The sequence below is a fragment of the Homo sapiens genome, chromosome 15 (genome assembly GCF_000001405.40).
Source record: "Homo sapiens chromosome 15, GRCh38.p14 Primary Assembly".
Lineage (NCBI taxonomy): Eukaryota > Metazoa > Chordata > Mammalia > Primates > Hominidae > Homo > Homo sapiens.
The window spans coordinates 96,527,465-96,553,715 of NC_000015.10; the positions used below are offsets into that span (position 1 = coordinate 96,527,465).

Consider the following 26,251-nt stretch of genomic DNA (forward strand, 5'->3'; position numbering starts at 1 on the left):
ACCATTTTATTAGAGAGAAAGAAGTAGTGTATCAAGTTTAAATTAAGCAAACCAAAGTATCAAGTAGAGGAAAATTTAAAATGTGACTTTGTGCAATTTCTTGTATAAATCCTCTATTATAAACATTGGCAACAAGGTGTATAACACGTGTATAACAATCCAATGTGGCTGTGGATTGTGTTAGGGCACCGACTCTGGTTTATGGCTATATGTACTTTCTACTACAGAATTGTGTCTCGTGCCTTTTGTCATATATTTCATCTGAAATTCATTCACCCTGCACCAATCTCTTCCTAATGCTATGTGTAGCCCTAGTGGTAATGCATGTTATACTGATAACATGTGTGGTTGGTATGAGGAATTACTTTGAAGATGTGTGCCAGGAGTGAACTTCTTCTGGGTGATAATGACATAGCACTATTAGGGAGAGGGACCTTCTGGTAATAATGCTAATGACCCCTTCCATCTTTGCACTGCTTATGATGTGCCTGGCATTGTGCTGAGTGTTTGACTGCATTATCTCTAATGCTGAAAACACCTGGCATGTGGCTTCTATTATTCCCCAGTACAATAATATTGCACATAGGTGAGAACAATGGGAAACAATGTTTGTCTATAGACATTTTCATGAATGTTACATACCACTCCTGAGGTACATAGATTGAGAGGTCTACGCATCCATTATTTATATTTATAGGGCCAATATAATTGAACTTCATATTAGCATAAACCCAGTATAAATATTTATAAATTAATGTTTAATTAACATGTTGGTTTAAACAGGTTTCTATCTGTAATATGTAGCCCATGACATTGTAAAGTTTCAGAACTGTATACAAAATGAGCGCTTGTAAAGTTAATAAGCCTAATTTTCATTTGAAAAAAAAAAGCCAGGTATGAAATCGGGTATGAAAAATGACTCTCTGCACCATTTCTTATGGCTTTTCTTATACTGTATTCTTGAGTACGAATGTGGGCCATAGTTAACCGTTCAAGCCCTCTTAATTAAATTAGGAATAATGAAATATTTTCAAGATTCCTATTAAGAACATTTACTGATGAGTACAGTTTATTCTTTTTAGACTAGAGCTTGACTTAATTCAACATTCTGATTACATTGCCCTACCATAGTAGGGTGGCCTCATCAAAATAATGATAAACCTCAATTCAGTACTTTGAAAACAGCCAACTTTTCTCTTTGTTTAATAGGCTCCAAATCAGTAAACTAAATTAATCAGAAAAGTCTTTAGCTCAAGTAATGATGTGTTTTCAATTCAAATTTTTACTTTGTAAATCTATCTATTCATCATGTGCTCCAAAGGAAGGTGCACAACAATGAGGTCATTTAACTTCAGTTCAACAAAATGTCTGAAAAGATTTGTTATTTCATCCAGACTTACTTACTTTTGTTGACATGTAAAATATTTTTGCTCTTTAAAAGCTAAAGATTATATGTTGCAAATATACCCATACACATATGCATATATATATACACACACACGCATGCATGCATACATGTCTACACACACATAAAATCACTCAGCATTTTAATAACATATTAGTAAAAGTTTTTTAAAAACAACTGTATTATAACCCAAGGAGCTTTTATCCTTTATGATCTCAGAAAACTCCCTCTTGATTTAATTGCCTTTTGTATTTCTGGAAGGCCCTATTCTATTTTTCATTCTAGAATATGCTTATTCATTACTATATAATCTATTCCTCACCAAATAACTCAGATTAGTTTATAATGAAGATGTTCTAACATGAGAAAAAGTTAAAGTTAAGAAAATTGGTGTTATTTAAAAAAAATTGTATGTAACTGAAATCTAAGCAAATAAATGAGGCAGTAATTTATGATTCTCATTATGTTGTCTTTTGACAAATCTAAAAAATTTCATAAATCATAATTCAAGTATCTGATAACTCTTCTTTGAATGTAGGGTTTGGTATAAAGGACTATTTAATGATTTCAATCTGCACATATTGGAAGATCATTAAAATAAAACCAATATGAATTACAGTAAAAATAGATAGATTTTTTTACCCCTCCTTTAGTTACTACAAAGTGGTGGCCAATACTTTTATGTATAACAGGTGCTGGTTACAGTTTGTAAAGCTTTCAAAAGCTTTGTAAAAAGCAAGTTAGCACAGGCCACTAAAATAAAGCAAAATAGTTCCAAGTTTTAGTGCAAAATATTTTTATTTAAATATTGAGTTGTTTCCTTAAAAACTGAGCTTTTCAGGTAAGAATATATAATTTGCATCCAAATAATTCAAAACTAACAACACTAAATATATATATTTGATTATATTAAATTATGTCTATACCTTAGGTTTTAGAAAACATGAAAGAATTCATCTCAGTTTATGCTTAAACAGAAGACATAGTTATTATTTTTCATAGCTTAATGCTAAAGAAACTTCACTTATAAAAAAACTATGATGGTATTTTTAAAGTTTTTAAATTTAAAATTAATATACACATTATAATGTTTCAATATAAACAATGAGTCTTTTATTTTAGTAATTTAAATTTCCAGAAGAAATTGAAATTCTTTTTTTGCCCTTTATTTTTGCCATTTTGCAAGTAATTTTTCATTAAATCAAATACTATGTTAAATATTCTACTAATATTTGTTTAAATTCATTTTTAAGAAGTATTTTTCCTTAAGTTTTATACCTAAATGAAATAGAACTCAGAATAATGTACTTAATATTTTTATGTTTAAGTTTTTGTGACTTATTTAAATACTTGTACTGAAATTAATTGAATCAAAGTCATTGATTAGATATTTAAGATCTATTTAAAAAGTATTAAAATAAATTATGGTAAGTAGAGTTTAACAATAACATTGCTTATTTATTTTAATATAGTAGAGCTTTATTTTCCCTTGTCAATATTTTTATATTTATAGAAGGTTAATTTTAGACACATCTGAATATATTTCTATTTGATCGTGGACTGTAATACAATAAAAATAAAACAAATCTCATGCAGATTTCACAATTTTTACATGGGCTGTCAGAATTAGAGGTTTTTTAAAATGATAGTATAATTTTTACATTCTAACTTATAAAAATGTGCCTTTCATATTAATAATTCCACGTAATAAAATTTAACTCATATATATAAAACACACATATATATATCACATATATATATATAAAACACATATATATATCACATATATATTTCAAGGGCAATGAGAGTGGGAGGTAGCATAATATTGTAGAAAAGTAAAGCAATATCTTAGGAATTGTTTGCCCTAATATGTTTAATATATTGTAATAGTCATTTCTAAAGGCAGCATCAGGAAGTGCAGAGAAAGTAATGATTTATGAATGATTTATGGGCTTGGTTTTGATTTTATAATTTATTATTTTAAATCATTTATTATTTTAAAATGTTTTCTGTTTTAGAAAATTCTAATAAAATACTATTATTTCAGTTTCTATAGTCCATAATAAATAATAAAATCTAATAAAGTGATTTGAGTATATCTGGATCCATTGGATTAAAAATAAGCCAACATTTTGAGTGACAACTTTAATTTACTCATTTTTATCTATTGAACTTATTTCTACACTTCAGATCCCTTATACAGACCAAACACCAGTTGTAGTTAATAAAGATTTAAATACTTTAAAAAAGATGTATTAAAATTCTGAGTTAATATCATGGTTAATAAATAAACCAGGGAAAAGTTTGGCATCTTAATTTTGTTTATTCTTAAAAAGAAATACTGTAGCAGAGAGTTTTGCTAGGAGGAAAAAATGCAAACAGAATAAAAGTGAATTTTCTGTTTCTCATTGGTTTGTGTCAATACTGGCCCATATGTACTTTGTTTGCCTCTATTTATTTTTGTTACTGAAAGTATTTCATAGACATCTGAAAGATTCAATTGATTTTGTTAGTGCTTTTGAAGACTTATTTAAGTATTCTCAGGTAAATAAAGAATAAGAATTTAAAAAACTGGTAGTAAACACTTATTAAAGAATGACGAATTTTCTTTCTTTAATCTATAGAATTTCTGGTATATATCAATTCCACTAAACTGCTTTTTAAAAAGGCAGTATTTCCAATGATAAATCGGCATTTGTTTTGCAATGGACTCTTCCTTGTTTCTTAACTAATTTCTTGAAATAGAAATCCGTTTTCCTCATAAGAATGCATTTAATGTATACACATTTTATTTTCTTTGATTGCCAATATTTACAAATCCTCAAAGCAAAAATTATATAACAGGTAAATATCTGGCCGCTTTGCATAAAGCATTTTGATAGTTTAACATTTACATATCTTGTTTGATATATACTAAGCTAATATTCCAGAGTATCTCCATATTTTTTAATGCAAAGTGAACATTCTTTGGTGAAAAATAAATATCACTGACATCCTAGGATAATTTAAATTACTTCAATATCAATTCTATAAGCTTTAATTTATGACTGAAGCTTAGGTTGCTCACGGTGCAAATTTTTTCACAAAGGTAATTAGTATAATTAATTATTCAATAATTGAAATGCAGGTTAACAAACTTCCATATATAAAAGTTAAAAAAATGTCATTCATTCAAACTGTGAACTCTAAGCCTATAAAACTCTTCAAAGAACCCCAAGATATCAAGCAATCTTTTATTTAGCTAAACCTACCCCCCACCTTCACTCTTATTCATACTTAAATACTCAGTATGCTCACAGCTTGGAAAAAAGCTAGAAAGCCTTAATGGATCACTGATTTTAACTAAAGAGGTAGGTGCATATCCCTTATAAATGAATTCAAAACTATTTTTGTTTTAGCATTAATAGTTTTCATCAAATGAAAACAAGCTTCTTAGTGTAGGAGAGTAAAGTCTTGAATAGGGCACTTATTAGCATATCTTTTATTTTAAACTCAAGGACAAACATTCTAAAACAATATCTATTACATTGGAACAATGGTGCAGTTTTTTTCCATTTTCTAATATTCCAGCAGTGGATTTCTTTTGAGCAAAGGGTAACGTAATCAAAGTACAAAGCGAAGGACTCAGTAAAAACAGCAGGAACACATAAAATCAATTTAAGGAAAACAATATTTAATCTTGTCATAGTTTAAAGTTAATGGAGTGAATGTGGTTTAGCCTTTCATTTTTCATGAGGTATATATTCTCAGTTTTGGTGTTATGCCATTGAAAGTGTATTTCTGATTAAAGCTAATGAGTTGCAGATTTGAATTTTGATCTAGCCAACATAGAGATAATATATTTAAAGATGCTTATACTTTTTTGGTAAAGTTGTAATCAACAGCAAGAATAATTTCCAGTGTCATGGCATGCTTTCTCAAGATTAAAAAATATAAAAATCAGGTAGTGCTTTAGCTTTCTGTTTCTTAAATATATGCATAATCTCTTTTAGAAGATATACACATTGTTAAATTTGTGACTTTTTCCCTGAATAATCCGGAATGGCAAACGTTTCTACTAAATAAATTTTTCTTTAGCCTTCGAAAATGTATGACAATTTGGAAACTGACAATGAAATAAATTATGTATCTTGACAAAAACAGTAAGAAGGACATTTCAATTTTTAGCTAAAGAGGAACTTCAAGAGAATTAAATCAGGGATGATAATAGTCACTATTTTTATGCCAGTGTTCTTTATTTTTTCCTTTTCTACATAAGGTACTAAAAGTCTTTAATATTGGAAACACAAAACCAATCATAGAACAGTCATGATCATGTGTGCAATATTGATCTGATAATTACCACTACAAAAACAAAAATGTATCTTTTCATGTGTGATTATAAGATGTGAAAAGAAAACGTTTGCAACAAGTGCCACTGTTCTTTAAAAAGCATTTCTGTATTCACTGTATGATTGACTTAATTTCCAAATTGCAAAAAAAACCTTTCATTAAAAAAATCTTTAACTTTTGCTTTCTTTTTTTAAAACGAAAGTTTTTTTTTAAACGATATCATTGACTACACTGATTAAAATAATTCTTCCCCCTAGTTTCTCCACCGTCTTTGTGTTCGTTACCTTGTTACCTTTTGGTATTTTGGTTTGGAAGCTTTAATATAAGTGGTCCCGCTATCTTTTTGACACATCTTTCCGAGTTGTTGTCAAGTCCAACCCAAGTAGCAATCACACATCCAGAAAGACAGTAGCAGTTTCTTTTTCTAACCTGTTCAGTGAAAACAGGTAAGGACATGAACAAGTGTATGATGACCCCACTAGGTCTGCAGCTTTTGTGCCTGACATCTGTCAGACAGAAACAAGCGGGAGATGCTCTTATCAATTATAGGAGATCACCGATAGCACTGGGAAGTTGAAATGATGAAGAAGGCTTCCATTTTTTTTTTAAAGCATGCCATCTGTAGCTATTAGAAAGGGCTGAGAAAAAGACTTGTAAATGCTTGCAGGAAAAAAAAATTTTTAGAAAAATATTGTTAAAAGCATCTAGTCTCCTTTCCTTAACAGTTAGAGATTTAGGGACAGAAAACTTTGATAAACTTCTATGGCTATAGTTAGATAATAGAGCATAACATAACATACCATACCATACCATAGCAAAGTTAAGCACCAGTACCAACAAATATTAAAGATCTTGACTACCCCAGTTGCCTCATTAAATATCAACAGTTGGGACATTAAAGAATATCCTCATTCAAATAGGATTTATTATTATATCATTTTTCTAGAATAGAATTTCATTCCCTAACCTTGTTACAGAAAGCAAATATGGCAAATGACGATTTTCTTCAGATATTAAAAACAGTTCTTAAGGGAAAGGAATGTACTCTGCTAGTGAAAAAGAGAAAATTGTGTAGTCTGTCCTTCTCTCTAATTTACATGATTTCTTTTAAATAAAATCATTTACTCAGTGACAGTAAATGCGACCAGCAGATGTTTAGTTATTTGTTGAAGCAAGACAGTATATTAACTGATGGAAGTATCAATTGCAGTTATTAAAATAGATGCTATTTAGAAGAACTGTGGGATTCAGAAATAATTATTCATATAATTAGAAATTGGAAATGAGTCAACAGGATTTGTTTTGGCATAAAAAAGACATTTGAAATGACTTTAAGTATGGTTCTACCAAAGTATATCCAATACACATAATACAAACAGTAAATTTGCTGTTTCATTTTGAAGACCATACTGAGTTATTTGAGACCGACTAGATTTGGTGCAAATACAAATCCTGGTAAATTGCGTGTATCCTATGGCAACAGTTTGTTTGGCTGTCTTTAAACCTGGATATACTACAAAGTTTAATTTTTTCTCAATTAATATCTTCCATGTCCATTTGGCCAAATTGTTGCATATTATTTGACAGGAGTAGTGTATAGAGAAGACATTTAGCATTGCATATTGTAGGTAATTATGTAATTCTCCCTCTTGCCTTTAAAAATATAGCATAAGAGAAAATATCGGAATAAGTACTCATATGCTAAGGGAACTCAGAATAAATTCTTACACTGCATGAGCATAGGAATTCCTCTGTGAACATATTGCATGAAAATTAGCATCACCACTGAACTGTCACTTGGATTGAGCCCATCTGAAAGATTTCAAAACTACTGAGAACATACTAACTCTATGAAAAAACGCAGTCACCAACCCCTGAAAATTAAAACAGTTTTGTTAATCAAGGATTTCATCTCCACATTAAACCGAGGCCAAATTAGGAAGGCTATGATGCGCACAAAAACATTTGTTAAGCAAAGTCAAAATTAATGACAAACAAAATCAAGTTTCCTTTGTGGTTGATTTTCAGGCAGCTGCATCCAAATATAAAAGAGCCATCAAAGAAAGATTTTCATTAATTATTAACTCTGAACAACTTCAGAAAGCAGAGCCCTTAAACCTCCATTGACATCATTCTGCCAGTCTCCTAATCTCTGCGAGTTGTTGGTAAGAGTTGCATTAAACACAGCATGCTACCAATCCTGCCTTTAACAACCGCAACTCCAGGGCTGTACACTGCAGCCTGGAAGACCACACGAGAGAAGCTATAATTTCTGTAAAGACATCTTTAAGAAACATTTACAATCTCACATTCTGAATAATCTCCTGGGTTACTTTACCTCTCTCAACCACACAATAGGGTGTCAATAGCCTAATGGCAACATGCAGGATGCAGAAACTCATCCAATTTTTTTTTTTTGGTAGAAGTACAGAACAACTGTCATGAATAAAAAATGATGCCACCCTATAGCTTAACCTAGTTAAATCTACAGATTGTTCCTGTTTTCTTTTTTTCCATTACAGAATGGAAGAAGAGGCGCTAGTATAAATGACCTTGATAAAATGTGGAAATATGCAAGATTGTAATGCAAGCTAATAAGATAATGCAGGTTATTATGTATGATTATTAGTGTTTTCACAATTTTTCATTGATGTGAAATACTTTTCAACTCGTAAGACACTTTTCCCTGTATTGTGAGTATTGAATAAAATTTAATTTCTATGAAAATATCCTTTTAAGAATATATGTTAATATTTACAGTTATAAGTTCAGGTTTCTGCTCTGGACTTACACAATTCTGAGGCCAAAATACAGAAAATAAGATTTTCGTTCATGTTGATTTTCCATGATTGGGCATAATTATAGTTGACTAATTCACCACACTATCGTGCAAGGTACAGAGAAACAAAACTCTTATGTAGCATGTTGTCAATCTTAATGTCAATCTGGTAGGAGAGAAGATTTCCCTAAAGTACCTTAAGATGAAAGTAAAAATAAACAAATACATGTATATAATCTAAAATTTGATTTTTGAGGTTTTTTTTTTTGCTGATATATCTCCCTGGGGAAAAAAAAAACAGCTGTAACATGACAGTGGGAACTAATATTTTTCAGACCGTTTAGGCTGCACTTCCCCTATCCTACCCCCATCTCTTTTTTTCTCATTCTCTCTGTCTTCTAAAAAACTTATCAGATTACAGATGAGCATCATCTGAACCAAAATAAGTACTTAACAATCATTAGTGTACCTCTTGGAAAATAACAGCATATTTGAATAAAAATAAAAAAGCAATCAACAGCAGTAAGAACAGACAACAGACATTTATTAGATGATCAAGTTGATTTATCATAAACTTCCCAACCTTTTAGTCATAATCCATCTGACCACCCGAAAATTCTTCAGATCATCTCCTTATATCACAGAACTGGAATGGCTAGAAATCAAAATGTTAACTTTTCAAACCAATCTAAAAAGAACAGGATAAGGAAAAGTGTGTATCTGTGTGATGGTTCACATTTAAAGGTTTTATCTCTTTACTCTATTTGATTAAAGGCCTTGTATTGAGTTAAGCAGCAAATCCTGCAGAATAATTAGTGGCTGTTAGTTTTTTTCCTCTGCCCACCCCCCTACCCCCCTTTTAAATGAAAGCTTAAATGGGGGAAAATGGAATGTCAGTCAGAAACTGGTTCATACCAATCATAATAATTATAATCTATTAGAATTAAGCCATAATCATTAGAATTTCTTCTTTTCTCCTACCTTTGATGGCCTGTTTCATCTGTTTCATTAAAGCTGTAATTTTTACAGATGCTCTTGATGTTCCTACGTTTTCATCAGAGTCTAAGACAGCCTAAAGGGAAAAAATAGCTCTCTGCCTATAGAAATATATGTTAATACATTAGTTACTTGAAGCAAGCAACTTTTGCAATATGTGTGTCTGGGTGTCTATAGTTGTCTTTATTTAGGCCTGTCCAGCATTTTGTTGTGTTCTACTCTTGCCCGGCAGCTGGACCCTGACCTTCAAGTTCTCTTTTTTTCTTTTTTTTAAGAAAAAGAAAAAAAAAAAGAATTCTTTTCAGATTCCAAGTTCCCCCCCCTTCTTACCCTCCCACTGACACCATCCTATTCAGAACCGGAGATAACTTTATTCATCTACAGATCATTGTATCAAATTCAATAGGCAAACTGCTTCAACATGCCTCAGAGCTGGGCAGAACAGTTATGTCTTCATTCCCCCCAGCCCCCCAACCAGCCCCCGGTGCAATGAGATTTTTACCACCGTCTTTTCAGGCATGAAATGAGCACAGTTACAAAAAATAATTTCAAACAAGTGTTTTACTACTCTGTTGGGTCACTGTAGATTTATTTTCCTGCAAACTCCTCAATTGGATGGAATACATTACCGCCAGGCTGAGTTGCTTAGAATCATCTCTAGATAACACATGCTGGAAAGCAAGAAGGGGATCCGTTTATTCATTAACTTCCATAAACTGCTGATGTAGATTTTGATGAAAAATGTGCTTGCATCCCAAGTGTTTGCTTTAGTACAAAATTAAGAGCATCAAATCTTATAAAGTGACACCATTGCTATAATGGATTACACAAAGAACTGAAGGGAAGAATTCTGCTATACCAGCAACCAAAAGCAAATATCCTGTTCTCAGAAAACAAAATATTATGCCTGTCTGCTGATCGATTTCAGAAGAGAGAAATTAATGCCTTTCACCCTCCATCAAGGCTCTACAATATTTTGAATTCACTTCTGGGAGTTTGAAATTTTTAAAGAGAAAAATAGAGCTTGCTTAATGTCAGGAACATCAAATAACTGTTTGATGTTGGACGCTCTTACTACAAAATCAGCCTACTATCTTCAGTTAGGATAACTGAGTATCAGATTAGTTTTCAGGGTGGGAACTGGCTCGAATATGTGGATTCCCAATGAGGTAGTCAGCAGACTTTAACAGACAAAATCATTCTTTTCTTGCAGAGGTGAATTTACTTTTGAAACCCTCAGAAGGATTCTTTCTAAAACAAAAGACTCTTTAAGGAGTCCGATATGTAAAACAACAACAACAAAAATCTTGGTGAAACAGTTCTAAACTCAACCACACATCCTTATCCATTGCTGGACACTGCCCCTCCCCCATATCAGAATGCAAAGCCTGAAAGAAAGTGGAATGATTAAAATTAAATAGAGCATCTACTAAAGTCCTTAAACCAACGAACCATTATAAAACATTCTAGATTCTGAAGATGGAAAAGGAGAAAGATCTTTTTAAAAGCAGACTTACATCATTGACTAGGTGTTTTCTACCCTAGCTCCTATATGTTTATGTAGAGGGTGTTACAGACATTTGGAAGGATTTGGGAGTTTCAAAAGAGAGAAGTTTATACATTAGTGCTGCAAGTTGCAAAACACTGTTGATATTCAAATGTTTATTGTGCAAAATCTGGGATAAGCTTCAGCATGAGGGCCCCTTTAAGTGCCTACAACTCTTGCTAATTCCCCTCAGCATTGAGGCGCGCACAAAGGCCCTAATCCAATTCCACTTTTTTTCAGAAAGCCTATGCTATTTTCTCTCACATAAACTAACAACACTACCCCATCACACTGCAGAGTGGGTCAAAGAAAAAGCGCTCTCTGTTTATACTTCACCAACACTTTGTGTTTCTTGGGCAAGCATGGCAAGGAACTTTAAGTGGTTCCCCAGGCCCCACGACATCTTTAGGGGGAGAAAAGCCTTCAGGCATGGAGGTGGTAGTTTTTAAGAACAAAAAAATATAGTGGGATGTTAAGCATTCTCCTTCTCTGTTATCTGGGAAAAGACATTGATCGCTTGAGCCTCATTCTTGCAGTTGTGATTTAAATGATAGAAGTCAGGCATGCTTTGGTAAGGTAACATGCACATTTTGATAAGGTGGTATTATTTTTCTCTAGAATTGTTGGTTCTCCTTCTCTCTTTCATCTGTCTGTCTCTCTCCTTTCCTTCCTCTATATCTTCCTTTCTTCCTTTCTCTCCCTTTACCACATCCCTAGTACGATTGCCTTTCATTATTTCCTGCAGAGATTTCTTAAGCTCACAGAAACCACACTCATTATTTATTTTCTCTCAATTACTAGTTCCTGTTATCAAAATGAGAAATTGATTCTGCCCAAATTTTAGGCAAATCATTTATTGCATCTGCGATTTGGGTGACAATTTCTAATTTCAGGTAGAAATTCTTTTAAAAAATAATAACACCAGCTGTTCGCAGTGGAAATCAGGCATTTGCCTCTGATTGTGAGTACACAAGTGACCAATTACTCTAGTAATTAAGTAACTGTGGGTGCTGTTAGAAATGACCACGATTCTGTCCCAGAAGTGAATTATAGGCGTAGGGATAGGATGCCAAATTGAGAATGGGTAGGAGTCAGTTTCAGAGTTATGCTTTGGCAATTGGTGTCATCAAAAATCAAACCACACAGAATTCTGTGTCCTATTAGAGAAAAGGATGGCTTGCTTCTATTGACTTCTATTCATGATGTCAAACTGATGAAGTGCATATTGGTTATTTTTGAATATTTCCACATTTCCATAAAACCAATGAGAAGAAATTCTGATGGAAAGATATGAGGTTAGTGTGTTTGTAACTGAGACAGCAGATCTTTATGTCTCTGTCCTGAAAGATTACTTTGTGTTCAATAAAAATAGAAAACAACAAGATACATTTGATGCAGGTCTTAATAAATCTTAAAGATACTAATCTTTGCAGAAAAAAAAACATTACTACAAGGTAAGATTAACCTATGGCAATATTTGGTAATTTTCCTAATGGATCACATCAAACATTTGAAATGGTGTCTCTTCTTGACTACATCCACAGTAGCTGGGATCAATTTTCTACAAGGCACCCCAAACTAAACTCTAAAGTGGTTGGAAAAAGGAATTTTCTATGATTAGTTTGTGTCAGAAGCAAGAAAATATCAAGTCGATCATATCTGAGCCTCTAAATCAATCACATTTTAAGGTCTGGTACAAAGCCTCTGTACTTTAAGTTTCTATGTTATCTACACACAAGAACCTTGGTATACTTTCCACTTTTAAAATTTCTTGATTTTGTTTAATCTTTGAAATTATTTACAAGTACTTTCAACTAGTAAAAAAAAAAAAGTCTGCATGAAGCAGCCTAACGGTGGACAATTCTGACATCACGAAGCAGAGCAAATCCCTCTCAAATCTGGTTTGATATCTGATGGTCAGCTCTTGCATTATCGAAATTAAATCACTTATGTAATTAGCATGGTTTTCAGCCTCGCGGGCCTACTCAGTAGACAGGCCAAAGGCCCAAATGAACATGGAAATGGATTTCTTTTTTTGCTCAAGAGGTCACTATTGGAGGTGAATCTGCATTGTGAGTGGGCCGCATCTCTTCTACTGGAAAAGGGTGGCAGGACCACAGTTTCTCCTAAAAATGGCAGTGACGTAACTTAAACACAGAAAACATGAAATTATGCTCTTTCAGCATAATAGAAAAAGTCTGTGGCTTGTAACAAACTGTAATATACAGCCTAAGGGTGAAGAGTTCAGACATGAGCCAACAATGCAAATCACACTCGAATCTGGTCTGGATCCTGGTGGTCAGTCATTAAGTCACTTGAGTAATTAGCAACAGTTTATTTTTTGAGGCTTTCATTAGTTGGACCAAAGATATGAATAAAGCATTCCTTTCCTCAGGGAAGAAAAAAAAAGGGAAGCAAGGAAGGGAGGAAGGGAGGGAAGGAGGAAGGAAGGAAGGAAGGCAAGAAGGAAGGAAAGCAAGAAGGAGGGAAAGAAGGAAGGCAGGCAAGAAAGAAGGGTCCGGGAGGGAAGAAGGAAGGAAGGAAAGGAAGAAGGGAGGGAGGAAGGAAAACACATTTGGAGACAAAAGTCGAGTCAAATATTTAGTCACCAAAATATACTGGAGAGATTGATTGGAAGACAAATGTTGTTTTTGAGCTACTTGTGAAGACCCTTTCTTTCTTCCTCTCCCTCTCTCCCTCTCTCTCTGTCTCTCTCTCTTTGAGACAGGGTCTCGCTCTGTCCCCCAGGCTGGATCATGGCTCACTGCAGTCTCCCCATCCTGGGCTCAAGCCATCTTCCCACCTCAGCCTCCCAAGTAGCTGGGACTATAGACAGGTGCCACTACACCTGGCTAGTTTTTGTATTTTTTATAGAAACGGGGTCTCCCTGTGTTGCCCAGCTTGGTCTCGAACTCCTGGGCTCAAGTGATCCTCCTGCTTCAGCCTCCCAGAGTGCTGAGCCACCGTGCCCCGCAAACCCTTTCTGTTTCAAATAAACCTTGCCAGTTTCATTTACTTAGAGAAGAAAAGGAGTGCACTTTAAATTCATGTTAAAACCAAGTCAGTGAGATGGAGTGAAGGTGGAATTCAGCATAGGGAGTCAGGGTATCTGAAAGCATTGCCCCTGGGGTTTCTACATCCTGAATGTAAAACTCAAAATGCTGATGTGCTTATTTCACATTGCATGCCTGTATCAAAACATCTCATGCACTCCATAAATATATACAGCTGCTATGTACCCACAGCAATTTTTTAAAAATTAAATAACAAAATAAAAATAAATAAAACTCAAATACTTTTGTGGCTGGCACGTATCAAAAGCATATGGGGCCTCCAGTTAGGCCCATGGCCAACTGCAGAGTGCATGTCCTGCCTGAGTTATAAGTATATTCTTGTTTAACAAGGCCACTACCCTAATGGGCCAGAGGACAGCGCTTGTAAGGAGGGAGGATGCTTAGCAGGTCTGAACTTCAAAATTTTCAACATTGAAATGGCCTCTAACACACATGCTTACTTCAAATATAGTAGCATAATTGTAACATTCTCTTATTGCTATATAGCATTTATTTTCTTTAATTCAGCATAAAATAGATCACAGTAAAAAAGATAGTGATGAAGTGAGCTGTGACTTACTTGACAAATCACTTTTAGTTTCTTTTTTGCTAATTTAATAAGACCCCAGCAGCCATCCTGCTGGGTTGGTGGTCAGGCGATCTCAGGCGTTACAGGTTCTTTTTCCAGTTTCCTCTTCATTCCCATAGTTGGCCCAGCTCCTGGGGAGTGACACAGCACCAAGGTGTTAGGAAGGCCTCCTCAGCTGGCCATCTATCACAGGCCACCAAGTCATACTTGAATTCTGACACTCTCAGGGGCTGCTGCTTCCTGGTCATTCGGTCCAGTGGCTCCATGGCTTTTATATCAGGTTTGGGACATGGATGAATCAGGGGTGACTTTGGGAGTTTCTTTCTGGGGTTTCCCCTCTGAGCTTCTGTTTCCAACATAGTGCAGGCCTCAGTTTCTCCCATAGAGGCACTGTTGCCAACATCTGGCCTCTTTTAGCTCAGAGAAAGCTCTGCCTCAGCCTTCCCCTACAGTGCTCCTCTCTTCCCTTTCTTGAACTCCTGACTTCAAGCTATCTTCCTACTTTGGCCTCCCAAAGTGCTGGGATAACAGGTGTGAGCCACCGTACTTGGCCTTCTCTCTCTTCTCTTTCTTTCCAGGATCACAGCACAGTGTCTTTGTGAGCTTCCAGGGCTGCTGGGTCAAAGTCCTTTAGGGGCAAAGAGGTAAGAATAAATACACTAAGTGGGTTAGGTGTAAAAGAAAAGAGGGCTGGGGACTTTAGTAGCTGGAGAGTAACTGAATGCCTAAAGCCTTCCAAATTCAACGGAAAACACACACAGAAACACACATGCTGTGTACACACACACCACACACCCATGTGAGTATCCTAGTTTAGCTTTTATTATTATTTTTTAAACACAGTCTCACTCTGTCACCCAGGTTGGAGTGCACTGGTGCAGTCTTGCTCACTGCAACCTCTGCCTCCCGGGCTCAAGCGACCCTCTCACCCCAGCATCCCAAGTAGCTGAGGCTATAGGTGCATGCCACCATGCCTGGTGAATTTTTGTATTTTTCCTAGAGTCAGGGTTTCGCTATGCTGCCCAGGGTTTCGCTATGTTCGAGGCTGATCTCGAACTACTGGGCACAAGTGATCCACCTGCCTCGGCCTCCCACAGTGCTGGGATTACAGGTGTGAGCCACCACGCCCAGCCTTGTTTAATCTTTCACAAAATACAGGAAGAGTCCTTGAATATCTACTTTCAATTCTAGAAAACTTTTTGAGATAGAGAAATACAAAAATACAAAGCGCTGGGCTACCTGGTCTGACTGGGGTGATGGTGTTGGAGAAATTCAATAACAAATAACAAAATAAAACAGAATACATTAGTCAATAAAAATGATATTTGACAATTTTTTAAATAAAAATTTTTAATAAAAATTTTTAATTTTTTAATAAAAAAATTTTAATAAAAATTTTTAATTTTTTAATAAAAAATTTTAATAAAAATTTTTATTAATAAATTTTTAAAATAAATTTTTTACATAAAAAATTGCTACTTTTTGTGTTAAGTTTTTTTTGAACCAACTGTAGTGTGTTAACACACTTAGAAATTTTATTCAAATAAGCATTTGGGTGTCCCCTCTTTTTACCTGGCTCTCTGGTGGGCAGTGAGGTGGATATGAATCTATACTCCCCACGGAAAACACTCACTATGTACTGGGAACAGCCACAGACAATAAGAAACCTGTGCAAAGTAAGTAATTTACATGCAACACTTAATCCTCAAAACAATTGAGGGAGGCATGATTATCACGCCTGTTTTGCGGATGAGGAAACTGAAACACAAATAGGTTTAGCAAGTAACTTGCTCAAGGTCCCAGAGCTGGGAGGGGGCAGAGGTAGGATAAAATTGTTGTTTGCTCTGACCTCAGCTCTTAGGAGCCTTCACTATGGCACTGAGTCAAGCTGATCATTTATATCCAGTAGAATTTATGGGGCTAGACCCTGTCCTTTAAGATGCAGACTGACATCAGAGTCTGGAAAAGAGTTATTTGCTCAAGTTTATGCTTGGTGTGAAGATGAGAATTTATCTATCCAGGCTCTGGCAGGGCCCAGACTCTGGAAGGACCCAGTCAGGAGGCTTATGCAGCTGCCAAATCAACCCCAAAAAGATGCTCCCTGGAGCCACTCACTTTCTAACTGAAACACACCAGTCCTATTCACAGGTAGATCAGCCAGCAAAGGCTTATTTAAACTCTGCTCTCGACAGCTTTCTCCCACCTTATAAACTCAAAAGGGGACAGGCAGAAAGGGGCTCACAAAAGCCTCTTCTCCCTGCAGCTCTTGTAATAGGCTCATTAAGCACCCGCCTGGGCTTGTTACAAAATACTTTGGAAGCAGCCGGTAAGTAGCTGACTGTTTGTAACAGATAATATCAAATTGGAGAAACATGTAAAAGCACAGACAAAAACAGTAAAATGAGATGTGCTCTAATGATACCAGCCAAATAAGCAGGGAAATAATTAGTCACTCTATGTACATGGTTTGGGATTTGTAGCAGAGCTAATTTTATGTGAGGCCACGTCAACTTTTAGCTTTGGTGTTTTATGTATGGGGTAAATAAAAGATGTTCCATGGAGAATCCTGTATCGTAGGAAACAAAATGATGCTGCTGTCTCATTATGGAAGTCACAGATAGTATTTCTCAAACACTGTTCTTCAGCCTCTCTTAAGGGATGCTGTGGAGTGTTTTGATTATTTATGTTTTTCCTTTCATCAGATATGAATTTATGTTATATAAACGAGTCTAATTTTAAATACAATTATTTATTTATAGTAAAGAGATGATATTCATGTTTTTGATGTTAATGCTAAAAACCAGTTTCTTGATTTACAGTTAATTCTTCCAGCCTGTCATCTTCTATGTGGGACGTTAAAGTGGGTGCTGTATAAACATTTGACTACTGTTGTCTGCCTTCTGAGAAAGTGCACCTCAAAGGGACTTATATTTTGAGGGAGAACTTCTGAATTTGGAGAGAGAATTTGGTTTTTTGCTACCTATGAAATAAGCTTTAGCTTATGTATTAAGTGCTATTACATTCTTTTCACTGAATTTTGCTCAAGAAAAATCTTTTATTCTTCAGAAAACTACATGTACAACCTCTCTGGGAATGAAACATTTCATATGTCTAAAGATATAAAAGACATAAAGAGATAGTTTTGCATACCTCATCAGAGAAGAACCATTGGAGTGTTGATTTTATTGATACAACTTTTGATGTCCTGAATATTTGTTGTTAGACGTAATTTACAGAGGACCTTATTTATTTCCTCGCTATCCTAGTTAGACACATTGATATGTGAATTGTAGTCTTTACTCACCATTGCCACCCCGGATCCCTGCCTAATTATAAAAAATTACTCTTATATAAGTTTGAACGTTACTTCTTGTCTTCTGATTTGGGCTTCATGGGGTACCCAGATTCTAAAATTTGGGAAGAGACAATCGTGTGGAGAGGGAGGCCTGACCCTGAATGAGGGCCCCCAACTTCTAGGCCTTTTCCTGCCTCTGGTGCCACATCTCACCATGGGTACATAACCTAAGCCAGATGTCCCTTGAGTTCTCATCTGTCAGATGAGAGGATTGGAGAAATAATTTCTCTGTTGACTTCCAGCCCTAAATTCTATTTTTATAATGTGATCAATGTAAATTGTACAGACACACAATCTACCATAGGTATCCAGAATGAGCAAACTTACTTCATTAGCTGTATAACTTCTGGAGGGGAAGATGACTTAGTAAAAAATAATCACAAATAATCTTTTTAAAACTATAAGGCATTTTACATCAAGTGATATTGGATGACAGATAGATTTCTTCCTTTAAAAATTGTTATATGAGGTGAGGTACAGTGGCTCACACCTGTAATCCCACTGACTCTACAGGTTGGGGCAGAAGGATTGCTTGAGGCCATGAGTTTGAGACCAGTCTGGGCCACATAGCGAGACCCCAGTCTCTACCAAAAATTTAAAAGTTAGCCATGCATGGTGGTGCATGACTACAGTCCCAGCTACTTAGGAGGCTGAAGGGGGAGGATGGCTTGAGCCAAGGAGGTGGAGGATGTAGTGAGCTATGTTTGTGCTACTGTACTCCAGCCTAGGTGACAGAATAAGACTCCAACTCTCAAAACAGTTATGACATGAAATATCTTTTGTTTGCAATGTAATTTAACTGGACAAAGTACCATGCACATCTGAAGATCTCCTTTCAGACAGTTGAACAATTTTGTCAAGATCAGGCATGTACATATTCTTTGACCCAGTAATTTCACTTGTAGGCATTTTTCCTACAGATATAAACATACATATGTGCAAGATGTCTATTTACGTGTGCACACTGAAACATTGTTTATGACAGCAAAAGATTGGAACAATCTACACGTACATCCAAAGGGAACTGCTTAATAAATCAGGGCACTTACATTTAATAAAATACCATATATTGCTATGGAAATGAGCAGGTCTTTTCCTATAAGAACTGATATGAAAATATCTTCAAAATGGATATTAAGTGAAATAAGCAAAGTGCAGAATGATGTGCAGAGTAGTCCATCATTGATTTTCTTTAAAGTATAAACATGCACATATTACATGTATATGATATCTCTAAAAGTTTACATGAAAATCTGGTAAGCATGACTGCCTGAGGGAAGAGAACTGAGAGTCCAGGGGATAGTGATAGAAAGTTAACTTATTTTTCACCGTGTATCGATTCATACCTTTTAAATTTTGTACCATGTGTATTCACTACTTATTTTTTAAAAAAAGCAATACTAAAAGCAAATATTTAAATGCTTTGTGTGTACCAAGTATTGCTCTAATGCCTACATGTATTAATTCAGCGAATCTTTGCAATAACCACATGATATTAGAACTGTTACTATGACCTGTGTCTAACAGACACATAAAATGAGGCGGGAGAAAGTGAAGCCGGTTGCACAAACTCACACAGACGAGTGGTGAATAATCTATGCAATTCCCTTCCTAAAGCTCTCCTACTAAAGTTTTATTTTATTCGTTTTTTTGAGACAGAGTCTCACTGTGTTGCCCAGGCTGGAGTGCAGTGGTGCTATCTCGGCTTACTGCAGCCCCCACCTCCCAGGTTCAAGCAATTCTGCCTCAGCCTCCCGAGTAGCTGGGACTACAGTCACCATGCCCAGCTGATTTTTGCATTCTTAGTAGAGACGGGGTTTCACTGTGTTGGCCAGGGTGGTCTTGAACTCCTAACCTCAGGTGATCCACCTGCCTCAGCCTCCCAAAGTGCTGGAATTACAGGAGTGAGCCACTGTGCCTGGCTTCCTACTAAAGTTTTAGAAAAACCCTCACAGAAGCCATATATGTCATAAATGCATACACAGACACATACATACAGGCTTGTTCATACATACAGGCTTATTTAGGGCTCCTAACTTTTCATAGGACTATCCTTTCTCAATATAAATGCTTCTCAATTGAATTATAATATAGGGTTTCTCACATTCCAGAGTAGCTTCCTAATTGTACATGGTTCTGCCCAACCTCAAGGCTTAGTGGTGGTTCTTTGGCCCATGTAAGAGCAGCTAAACTCCATGTGGGGATGTGTCTGTTCCTGATATAACTCTTAGTGTTTGGAGATCCTGTTTCTCCTCACGTTGTCAAAAGCTGAACTTTTACTGCCTGCTCAACAATGTAATGCTCACTATCTTTTAAAATGCTGTAGTTCTCATCACTCAAATTCACATACATTTGTCTTTCTTGGACACATTCTTTTCTTTTTTTCTTTTTTCTTTTTTTTTTTAATCCAAGACAGATTCTTTTTTTTTGTCATCCAGGCTGGAGTGCAATGGCATAATCTTGGCTCACTGCAACCTCTGTCTCCCAGGTTTAAGCAATTCTCCTGCCTTAGCCTCTGGAGTAGCTGGGATTACAGGCACGTGTTACCACACCCGGCTAATTTTTTTTTTTTTTTTTTTTTCAGTAGAGATGGGGTTTTGCCATGTTGGCCAGGCAAGTCTTGAGCTCCTGGCCTCAAGTGATCCAACCGCCTCAGCCCCCAAAGTGCTGGGATTATAGTCCTGAGTCACCATGCCCGACCAGACACATTTTTTTCCTAAAACATTATTCCAAATGTACATTAGCCTAAGCACTCAGGAAACTCTATCAACTACCTGCTTTCTCAGGAACAAACAATTTTAGTTTAGTTATAACTACAATGGTAATTAAAAGCAAAATTTCCCCCTAAAATCAGCATTTCATTCTTTCCTCTAACCACCTGTAAAGAGGACATCACATTATTTATTGACACACTGCTTGCACCCTTAATAGATATTCAAAAATTGATATTGTTAACTGATGGATACAGAACTCAGTGCACTTAGCAATGACAAGCAAACTAGTTTCAAATGGAAGAAAGAACAGAGAAGTTGTTTAATGGTTAGGAAAGGTGCATTATCTTTTGTCCTTCACTGTCTGTTATTTAGGAATTAGCTTGACGATATGAGACCCTTTCTCCAGTATGTTTAATTACTTGCCAGCCATTGCTTCAATTTTGAGTTGTCTCTGCTGATCAACTTCTAAGTTCAGAGACTTACTTCAAGCTACTTTCCGTCTGACTGTGCATGGGCGCTGTAGGTCTTAGATTTCTCACATAGTGTGTCTTTTTAGGTGACTTGTAGCCAGTTTGACGTTGTTACAAATAAAACAGTACAGCAAAACCAAAGAACCCTGAAGCCGCTGCCCCTCAGGTATGAGTTCAGGACCTCCCAGAAGGTGGCCATGAGGATTCAGACCTTTGCTAGGGTTGAGAGAAGGGAAGGGAAAGGAGAAAGGTCACACCCATGAGGTTTGCCTTTCTTTCCAGAAATCAACTTTAAGGCTTTGACAGATTACATTCAGTTGGAGCACACTGGCCTGAGAATGTTTTGGTGGGTGGAACAGAAGTTTGTTTGTTTAATAAGCCTTGCAGAGATATATATTTTTTGGAGAAACCTGGAAACTCCAGTTTCATTCTGTTGCTTTCTACTCCCCTTAAAGTATTTCATGAAATGTAGATCTTTTGAAGGGATTTATTCTTTTACCAGGCATGGCATTTGGAAGTTCATAGTATGAGCAGTGAGGTTTTGGATCTCATATCAAAGGGTTTAAAGTTAATGATTTTAAGTATGGCTGGATTTTATTGCTCCTCTGGTGGGCTGAAAACTTCAGCCACTCTTTGACCTCTGCTCAGTCAATTCAATTCCATCTAATGCTCTGTGACTAATATGGTGGATATTTAATCTACTTTGCTGCTGAAATTACTCTTAGAGTCACTTTTTTTTCCTTGAAAAACTTCCTCCTGAGAGAAATTGCTTATCGTAAGCTCTAAATATGTTGCATATTACAGAATACATTTTTTAAAGCTTTTCTTCCAGAGACAATTAAACTTTGTCACTTATTTTGCTATCACATTACCAATAAGACAGGAAAAGTTATATTCTTCTTCCTTTTTTTTTTGACAGCCTTGCTCTGTTGCCCAGGATGGAGTGCAGTGGCATGATCTCGGCTCAGTGCCATCTCTGCCTTCCTGGGTTCAAGTGATTCTTGTGCCTCACATCCTCCCGAGTAGCTGGGATTACAGGTGTGCACTACCACGTCTGGCTAATTTTTGTATTTTCAGTAGAGATGGGTTTTTGCCATGTTGGCCAGGCTGGTCCCCAGCTCCCGGCCTCAAGTGACCCACCCACCTCGGCCTCCCAAAGTGCTGGGATTACGGGCGTGAGCCACTGAGGCTGGCTGAAAAGTAATATTATTCTAGAAGTAAAAGTAGAATCAAGAGAAGAGTGAACTGAAACCTACCTGATCCTGTTATTTATGTAGACATCATAAGTAGCCGTGTCTTAGCCAAATATTTCCTGCAATGTAATTAAATTAGGAGAAAAAAATATCAATGACTGTTAGGGTTATGAGTCTTAAGTAGATTCTTCTACCCACTCCCTTTTTAAGAACACATGTGGCTGCTTTTAAAGGCTCATTTGGAGATAAACGCGGTCTACAGGTTCAACAAGCAGGACAGCGACTGTCTTGCGCACTTGGGAAAGAGTGGTCCCAATACTGCCTGAATGGGTATAGAGACATGACATTGCCCTGAAGATCATAGGAATGAAAGTTAATCTTTTCTTTGTCTCTGATTCGTGGTGCGACTCCAGACAAGCCTTTTAAATCTGTGTTCCTGGGGAGGGGATCTCTATGGTGCCTCCAGAGCTCCCCTTCTATAGTTAACTTAGATGAAGCCGTGGTCACATCTGTACCTGAGCGCTGATTAAGGTCTTTGGGTAGTCACTTACAGCAAGCAGGTTCAGCAGGAGGTGGGCAGAGTGGTACCTTTCCTGGGGCCAACCTTTATTCCTCAGGTACTTAAATATTTGCAGACTCTGCTTTCCACTGTTAATCACATTCAATACAAAGGTCCAATGAAGCCCCCTTCCCAGGGAAATTTGCATTTCGACAGGGATCACAGCCCTACACTGAGGAGTAGTTGGAGAAACTGGAAAAAGCCCTGGAGCTCCAGAGATGAGTTTCCAATCCTGGTTTTACCACCCACTCATTTGGTGCCTTCTGTTTTCTGAAATTCAGTTTCTTTAGCTAATGAGAGGGGTGGATGGTAATCTCTGATCTTCCCTCTAACTGTTAAAACTATGGCCATCTAGAAATACAGACCTCCGTCAGGTAGTGGAGATCAAGACCAGTTGCCTTGTGAAGGCCAGTCCCAGCCCCAAGTTCCCTCCCCAGTGACCATATCTATACATAGTCAAGCATCCCACAGCAGTGGGTGGGGTGGTAAGAAGAAAACTAGATTCAGGTAAGCCACAGGCAATGTTCTATGCCTCAGTTTCTCAAATTAAACAATGAAGATACTACAGTTGACCTTCCATATCTGTGGGTTCCACATCCCCAGATTCAATGGCAGATCGAAAATATCCAAAAAAAGAAACAAAAAATCAAAAAATGATACAAATAAAAATCAATACAGTATAACAATTATTTACACAGTGTTTACACTGTATAAGGTATCATAAGTAATCTAGAGATGATAAAGCATAAGGGGGGGATGTGTGTAGGTTATATGCAAATACTACATTATTTTATATAATGGTCTTGAGAATCTGTGGATTGGTATCCTTGGAGGTCTTAAATCCCATCCCCTGTGGATGGGATCATTTCAGCATCGCAGCTCCTTATCTGTGTATACAGTCGATCAAGTGTCGACTCATCTGATGACTTATCTGACGTCTGAAGAGGAGTAGAGGAGACTTGGTGTCCAACAGAGTCTAGGCTGGGTTCATGACATGATTCATGAGCCAGAACCACATATTCTTCTCTTTAGACAACCTCTTCCAAAAGATCAACAAAAATGAAGTTTATCTGGGAATTGTCAAATCTTTTTCAAATTTAATGTATATATGTATATAAGGTAGTATTCAGTGAATATTTGAGAAATGTACAAATCTTTCATCCATACCTGTGCACGAGCTATATTCTTCACAGCCACAGAGCTCAGGTCCTCACTGGTAAAATTGAGGTAATAATAGGCTTTATCTCATAGGGTTCTTGTGAAGGTTAAATGACAAGAGACAAGTAAAGTGCTGTAGCTTAAATACAACTGCAGTAGCTAAATACAACTGCAAGTTAAATACAGCTGCAAGTAGGTTACCGTAAGATGTTTAAGATAAAAGTTCTTCCAGTCAGTTTTTCTCTTAATGTAAGTGCCTGTTTGACTTTACCTGTTACTTTCGTTCAATAAAGTTTGTGTGTTTCATTTAAAAAAAAATCAGTCAAGCGTCAACTGTATACATAGATAAGGAGTTGTGATGCTGAAATAAACCTAGATAGTGTTCAGCTTAGCAAATACTTGGTATATGTTTATTTCCCTCTGCCTATCTCTCTATTCTCCACTACCACATTTCAGACTTTATTACTTCTACCATTCTCTTCCAAAAGTGTAAGATGGGTATATATAGAAGATTGAACTGCTGGCCCCAATTTTTCACATCCTTCCTATCCATATTCCACTCCCTAAAACCCATATAACTTTGCAGTTTCTCCAACAGAAAGCATATATTTCACACCTGGTTTTGGGTTTGGCCGTGTGACTTAGTTTGGGTTGTTGGCAGATGTGATTCAGACAAGGGCTTGAAGTGAGCCTTCACAGTGGGGCTTGTCTCGTGGGCTTCTACCATTGTCATGAGAAAAACATGTCCTGGCTGACTACAGGTTCCAGTAGGGGGATGAGAGACACAGGACCTGAGATGCCCCATGAGCAAGAAATAAACAGTCACTGTTTTATGCCCTGAGATTTTGAGGGTGTTTGTTCTGCAGCATTATTGTGACAATAGTTGACCAATTGAGTTGCCCTAAGCAAGAGGCAGAGAAATAAAAAAAAATATTAATCTCAGTGTTCACTAATATATATTAAATGTTTACCATAGTATAGTTTTAAGCTACTTCACTTGTTTTAAGCACTGTACTTGTCTGTTGTCATTTAACCTTCACAAGAACCCTGTGAGATAAAGCCTATTATTACCTCAAATTTACCAATGAGGAACTGAGGGAGAGAGAGGTTATGTAACTTGTTCGAAGTCACATAGCAAATGAAAGGCTAAGGAGAGATTTTAACCCAGGTAATCTGGCTGGGTTCAAAACTACCTATTGTCTTATAATATTTTTATCATCATCATCATCAATAATAATAATAACAGTAATAGTAATTGCTATTACCATTTATTGAATGCTTGAGAATAGCGAATTTGCATAGTGTGGTAGGCAGTTTCTAAGAGGGCTCACAGTGATCCCCACCCACTGGTATCCATACTCTTGTATGATCTCCCTTTGAATGTGGGCTAGACCTAGTGATTTGCCTCTAAAAACTAGAATATGGCAAAAGTGATAGAATGTCACTTATGAGATTGGGTTACAAAAGGCTGTAATTTCTGTCTTCCCTCTGGCTATTTTTTTGTTGTTGTTCTGATGAATCTAACTGGCATGGTGTGAGATGCTCTGTGCATGGGCGGATGTGGCAAGGAACTGAGCGAGTGCTCCAGGCATTAGCTCATGAGGAACTAAGGCGCCTGTCTCACAGACTGGGCAGAACTGAATTCTTCCCACAACTGTGGGAATGAGCTAGGAAATAGGGCCTTCCCAAGAGAGCCTTCCGATGATGGTAGCTTCAGCCCATATCTTGATTGCAGCCTTATGAAACCCCCAGAGCCAGAGGACTCAGCTTAACCACACCTGGAGTCCTGACTCACTGAAACGCTAAAAGAAGGAATAAATATTTTAGGCCATTAAATTTCGGAGTGATTTGTTATGCCTCAATCAATAACTAATGCACTGTTACATTCGATTTGTTCCTCATTGCAGTCTTGTGTCTCCATTTTAGAGATAAGGAAATAATTTTGAAGCCAGATCACATGGTATTTGAAATTAGAACACTTAGAGAGCTATGTTTAGAAATTCCCTGGAGTGAGCCCGTGATAGAATCTGAATGCTGACACTAATCCCTGGTGAGGTGCATTGGTGTCATGGGCAAGGGGTGCCCCTGAAGGGCCCAGGCAG

The 26,251-nt window shown here is 36.5% G+C and overlaps 1 long non-coding RNA gene across 2 annotated transcripts; it reads right to left on the bottom strand.

The window, feature by feature from the left end:
- Nucleotides 1-10,082: 10,082 nt before the first annotated feature.
- On the bottom strand, nt 10,083-24,233 carry LOC105371001 (uncharacterized). Of its 2 annotated transcripts, none has more exons than XR_932670.3 (4): nt 24,159-24,233; nt 22,496-22,551; nt 14,692-14,831; nt 10,083-10,183 (listed from the first exon to the last, which is right to left on the bottom strand). It is a non-coding gene; the product is annotated as an uncharacterized LOC105371001 (long non-coding RNA). The 2 variants fall into 2 exon arrangements; XR_007064802.1 differs by lacking the exon at nt 10,083-10,183 and adding an exon at nt 15,248-15,328 and having other exon boundaries at nt 14,769-14,831.
- Nucleotides 24,234-26,251: the final 2,018 nt, after the last annotated feature.